The sequence below is a fragment of the Homo sapiens genome, chromosome 2, assembly GCF_000001405.40.
Source record: "Homo sapiens chromosome 2, GRCh38.p14 Primary Assembly".
NCBI lineage: Eukaryota > Metazoa > Chordata > Mammalia > Primates > Hominidae > Homo > Homo sapiens.
Window position 1 is genome coordinate 192,776,900 of NC_000002.12, and position 5,643 is coordinate 192,782,542.

Genomic DNA, 5,643 nt, shown 5'->3' on the forward strand with positions numbered 1-5,643 from the left:
TATGTGAATTGTTCACATACATAGAAATGAAAAGTTCATTTCGTAAAGCAAGATGCTGGGTGAAAGAGTGCTTTTGATTGAAAGATCACTAGATTAGTAGAGGGCAAGACTTCTAGTCCCTAATCTACCCTTAATAGCCATGTGGTCACGTGTAAGTCAGTGAACCCATCTCATTCTCCTCATACTTTTTTCATCTCTAAAATGAGGGTATAATTTAAGCTCTTCATTTTTTTTTTTTTTTGAGATAGAGTTTTGCTCTTGTCACCCAGGTTGGAGTGCAATGGCACGATCTCAGCTCACTGCAACCCTCTGCTTCCTCGGTTCAAGTGATTCTCCTGCTTCAGCCTCCCAAGTAGCCGGGATTACAGGTGCCCGCCACCACATCTGGCTAATTTTTTGTATTTTCACCATGTTGGCCAGGCTGGTCTCGAACCCCTACCTCAGGTGATCCCTCGCCTCGGCCTCTCAAAGTGCTGGGATTACAGGTGTGAGCCACCACGCCCAGCCCAATATCAGTTTTTCTTTTTTAACACAAGGCTAACACAATCAAAATACTAGCTAGGGGAGAAAAAAAAAATAAGGCACTGTTTATGTGTAACAGGCTCTTGTTGCAATCACTGGGCAGACAATAAACAGTAAGAATCAATCCTTTTCATATATCCTTCTTGCAGAATACATAAAATCCCACAAATGGCTATCTTCCTTTTTATGATATTTGGAGAATTGTAGCTAAGTGACAGATATTTTGCTTGGGTGTATAGACCACAAAGGACTGTGTTTGATGATGGTTTGCATAAAATTATACCTTAGTTTTTACTTTGTATGTTACATGTTAGATTTAGAGTATGAAAATTAGTAGGGAGGATTATTAACAAAGAACAGGGCAAGAGGAGTAGAATTAAACCTCTTCTAATACCTGTGCACAAGTAGGCTTTTCAGAAACTCTACAACCCTACATAAACTGGATAGTTAGAAAAGCACACTCCCAAGGAAGGCGGTTATGTTTTGCAGTTTGAATCAGAAGAATAGAGCTATAGCAATCTTCATTCTATAGTAACATTAAAGAGCCTGGTTTATATTATAGCAGTCATTAAGATTTAAAAATTTACATCTTGCCGTTCTTCTTACTCACAGATTTTCGAGAGGTAATGTAATGATCCACGAGGTGAGAATCACTGCCTTTTATAATGCGATTAAATTGCATGAACAAAGTTTCCAACAAATAACAGTAATAAAAAGAAACATGTATTAGCACTTAATAAGCCAGGTGCTGTACGACGTGTGTTACATGCTTTCAATCCATGAACTGGTAAACTGGTACTAGTATCTCTATTGGACATGTGAGGAAACCAAATGGAGTTGATAAACAGTAGAGTTAAAAATTACTCTTCATATATTATATTGCCTCAATCTCACAGACATCTCTGCTACCAAAAGCTATCATATCTAGATATGCGGCATAAGGATGACCTTGGGGCACACTAGAATTCTTTGAGAGAATTCTGGCAGAGAAAACAAATATTTATTCCTACAATAAAACCCAGCATTTTACAGGTTTTATTTTTAACTATGAAGTATTGTTATCTGTATCTTTCATATAAGTGTGCCCGGAATTTATTTCTTCTGGTGGGTTCTTGGTCTCGCTGACTCCAAGAATGAAACCGCAGACCCTTGAGGTGAGTGTCACAGTTCTTAAAGATGGTGTGTTCAGAGTTTGTTCCTTCAGATGTTCAGATGTGTCCGGAGTTTCTCCCTTATGGTGAGTTCGTGGTCTCGCTGACTTCAACAATGAAGCCGCAGACCTTTGCAGTGAGTGTGTGACAGTTCTTAAAGGCAGTGCGTCCAGAGTTGTTTGTTCCTCCCGGTAGGTTCGTGGTCTCGCTGATGTCAGGAATGAAGCTGCAGACCCTCGCGGTAAGTGTTACAGCTCATAAAGGTAGTGCAAACCCAAACAGTGAGCAGTAGCAAGATTTATTATGAAGAGCAAAAGAACAAAGCTTCCCCACCATAGAAACGGACCAGAATTGGTTGCTGCTGCTGTGGTAGCCAGCTTTTATTCCCTTATTTGGCCACACCCACATCCTGCTGATTGGCCCATTTTACAGAATGCTGATTGGTCCATTTTATAGCGTGCTGATTGGTGCGTTTTTACAGAGTGCTGATTGGTGCATTTACAATCCTTTAGCTAGACACAGAGTGCTGATTGGTGCCTTTATAATCCTTTAGCTAGACACAAAAGTTCTACAAGTCCCCACCCAACCCAGAAGCTCCGCTGGCTTCACCTCTCGTAAGGAAATTGAGGTTCAAACAAGTTTCAAAGTGCTAAAACTACAGTTTCTCATTCTCTGCAACTGGATTTCCACTCATGTGTTTGAATCCCAGGCTCTAAGACTTAACTTGCCATTCTGTGACTTTATGTTCCTGCAATTTACACAAAGCTACTATCTGTCACATCTCTGGTGTTAACTTCAGACTAAACTTCTTTTTGATTCACAATGACCACACACTTTTTGGTTGAGGTTTTGCTATCGGTTTATTGTACTGGTTAATAGAGAGCTTCTTCCAGAAATTTGAGTAGATGGAAGAGGAAGTAGCACATTCCTAAAAATGTACCATGCCTTTCAAGTCACAAGCATCCCTATCACATGGCTGTCAAGGGTGGCTCAGAATAGGTAGAGTTAAGAATTTAAAGTAAATTGGTGTAAGCGATGAAAGCTTCATCTAAAAGCTTATATTACATCAACTGAAATGTAAAATAATTGGAACATTTTCCAGGCATCCCTGTTATTTATTTGTCTCTCTTTCCTTGCTTGCCTACTTCAAAAGTCATATGGCATGGTGACTAGAACTGTCCTGCCAAAGAGTTTGTCAATATAAGATTCCTTTCTTTGTAAACATTCTACCTTGGGGCTTCATTTATAATCAAAAGGAGTACTGTAACCTGTCAAAAAAAAGCTACCTGTGACAATATATTATGTGATGGTTACCTGCAGTAAGGTGGTGGCAATAAATAAATAAATAATCACAGAATGAAACCGAGCAGAACTGTCAGAGAAATGGTCAGAATTCACACTCTGAAGAACACGGCTATACAGTAATAATCATAATAAATAGCCACTCAATCCAAAACATCACTGGGCGACTTGTCACATATATAATCAGTGGAGATGTGATTGAAGCACAAGGCTTAAGTGAATGTCTAGAGAGCTAATTGATTCATTTTTATGGAAATTTTACTTATTTTAAATGTCATCCCTGACCATCTTGAACTTTTACTTGAAGATTTATTTTTTTTTTTAAATCACTGTTTATTAGATTTAGGTATTCTGGTCTTTGTTTTTCTTTTTTATCTATGTATGATTTTTATTTTTTTATGCAGTGTCCTTAAGCTTCATCAATGAGAAGAAATGTATTAAAATCCATTTATTCTTACCCTAATTCTTATAAAATAAGATTAATTTTTATAAGATGAAGTCACTCTTATGACTCATTCTCTATTATTTTTAAAACAAACAATATTTTTCCTCAAAATGTAATGCATTATTTGATCTGTTATTGGCAATATTACTGTGCCCTGGTCATTTTGGTAAGATAATCAATCATTAGTTTATGGAAATAATACAAGTGAAACATATATCATTGATTTTTTTTACTGTAGCAAAACTTTTCCTGTGCATAGCTACAGTTATTCTGTTTAAAAATATTTAATAGTCATTTTCCCTCCTTCTACATGTGTCTTGATTTCACTATATATGTCTAAACTTGACTTACATTTATTTTAGCATACTGCTATTATACACAAACTATAATGAGTCTTAAAATTATCAGGTGAGTTAAGTGTCCTGTGTTTAAATATTTTCTAGGAAATTAACCCAGGGAATTGAGGTGGATAATGAATTTAATGATGTTATCTAGGAAAATAGAAATGATATCTTAGAAGAAGAAACTACTCTATATCATGCATATACATATGTAGCACAAAAGCAGTAATTCATTTAAAAAGGATAAATATTGTGACATGTAAAACTACATATGGTACTTTATAAAGTTATTAATTTTATTTTAGAAAATATGAAAATGCATAGTTCTAAATGGTGTGTGCATCTAATTTAAAAATGGTCAAAGTTATCAAGATTATATATAGATATGTAGCTTTACAAGTAGCATAATTCATTGAAACATCTTGAAATTCCATGTACTGTCAATACATTAAATAAAAATTGTAAAAGATGTTACAATAGTTAAACAAATAAGAATAAGCTCAAGAGTCACTCACCTCCAATTTGCATCTACAGCTTTATTTCTTCTCCTTTGGTTAACTGAACTTTCTCAAAGATTAGTTCCTCATTTACTGTCTTGACTTCTGCTGTTTTCCTTCTATTAGAAAAAACCTATGCTTATGTTTTTCTCATTACGACATGAATTAGTCTACATGGACAATTTTGAGAACAATGTTGAAAAGTGTAAAGAAAAAGAACCATTAAAAGGCCACCCATCCCACTCTATCCAGTGTTAATGACAATAGGATATGTAACAGATATTATCAAATATATTAATAGAAATCCAACTTCCTGCTGGATATTTCTCATTTGATTTTTGGCCATTTCTCAAAGTAAAATATCTGATTCTGAACTCATTATTAGTTCTGTCCAAATTACAATTCATGAAAGATGAACTTTTTATTCATTTTGCAACCCATCATCCTCAAGGCAGAAACCTGTATTTCACTACTTTCTTTACGTTTCCTGCTATATAATCAATACCTCTTTTCACTTTCTGCTGCTACTGCATTCGTTCTAGGCTTATCACTTCTTGCATAAACTTTTTAATTAGTTCCAAACAATCATTATTACTCTTCTGGACAGTATTTCCAGATTTTCCCAGTGAAAATTAGTTCTGCCCTAGTATATGTTACATGTTTTATAAAACTTACTACATTGTGGTAAATATGTATGCTATAATTTTATTGCACACTAGAATGTGAGGTCTACATTAAAAAAAGGGAAAATGCCTTTTACATTATCCAAAATCATAGCTCAGTGCCTGGGACATACATATTAAGTGAGTAATAGATTTATGTTGAATGAATTAAAACATCGATGGGAAGGTGAATAGTTTGGAATTCATGTGAGGTCATGTAAAGAAAATAATGCATTGGAATAAAAAAGAAGAGGTTTAACAGAGCAGATGTTAGATGTATGAACTAAGATGACAATAGTAAATTCAGGTTGGTGGGCAGAAATACTAAAATTGACACAGAGGTAAATAATCTGAAAAGCAACATACCCTACTAAAAAGGAAAATTGTAAATTCACATATTCGTTAATTCAATCCATTTTTATTGTGTATTTATCGAGTGCCAAGCAATATTCTAAGTGTTGAGAATGACTTAAAATAAAAGTCTGCCATGCATGGAAGTTATTAACACATTCCAATTAGCATAAAACTGAAAATTAACCAACAAATGAATACGTATGATGCCCCATGACATAATGCTATGGAGGAAAATAAAGTGCTATGGAGAAAAATAAAAATAAACAATTTGCACTAAATACAGAATGATCAGGAAGAGTCTTTCTGATAGGTGACATTTGAGCAGAATACTGAAGGATGTGAGAGAATGAGCTTTGACAAAACATTGAA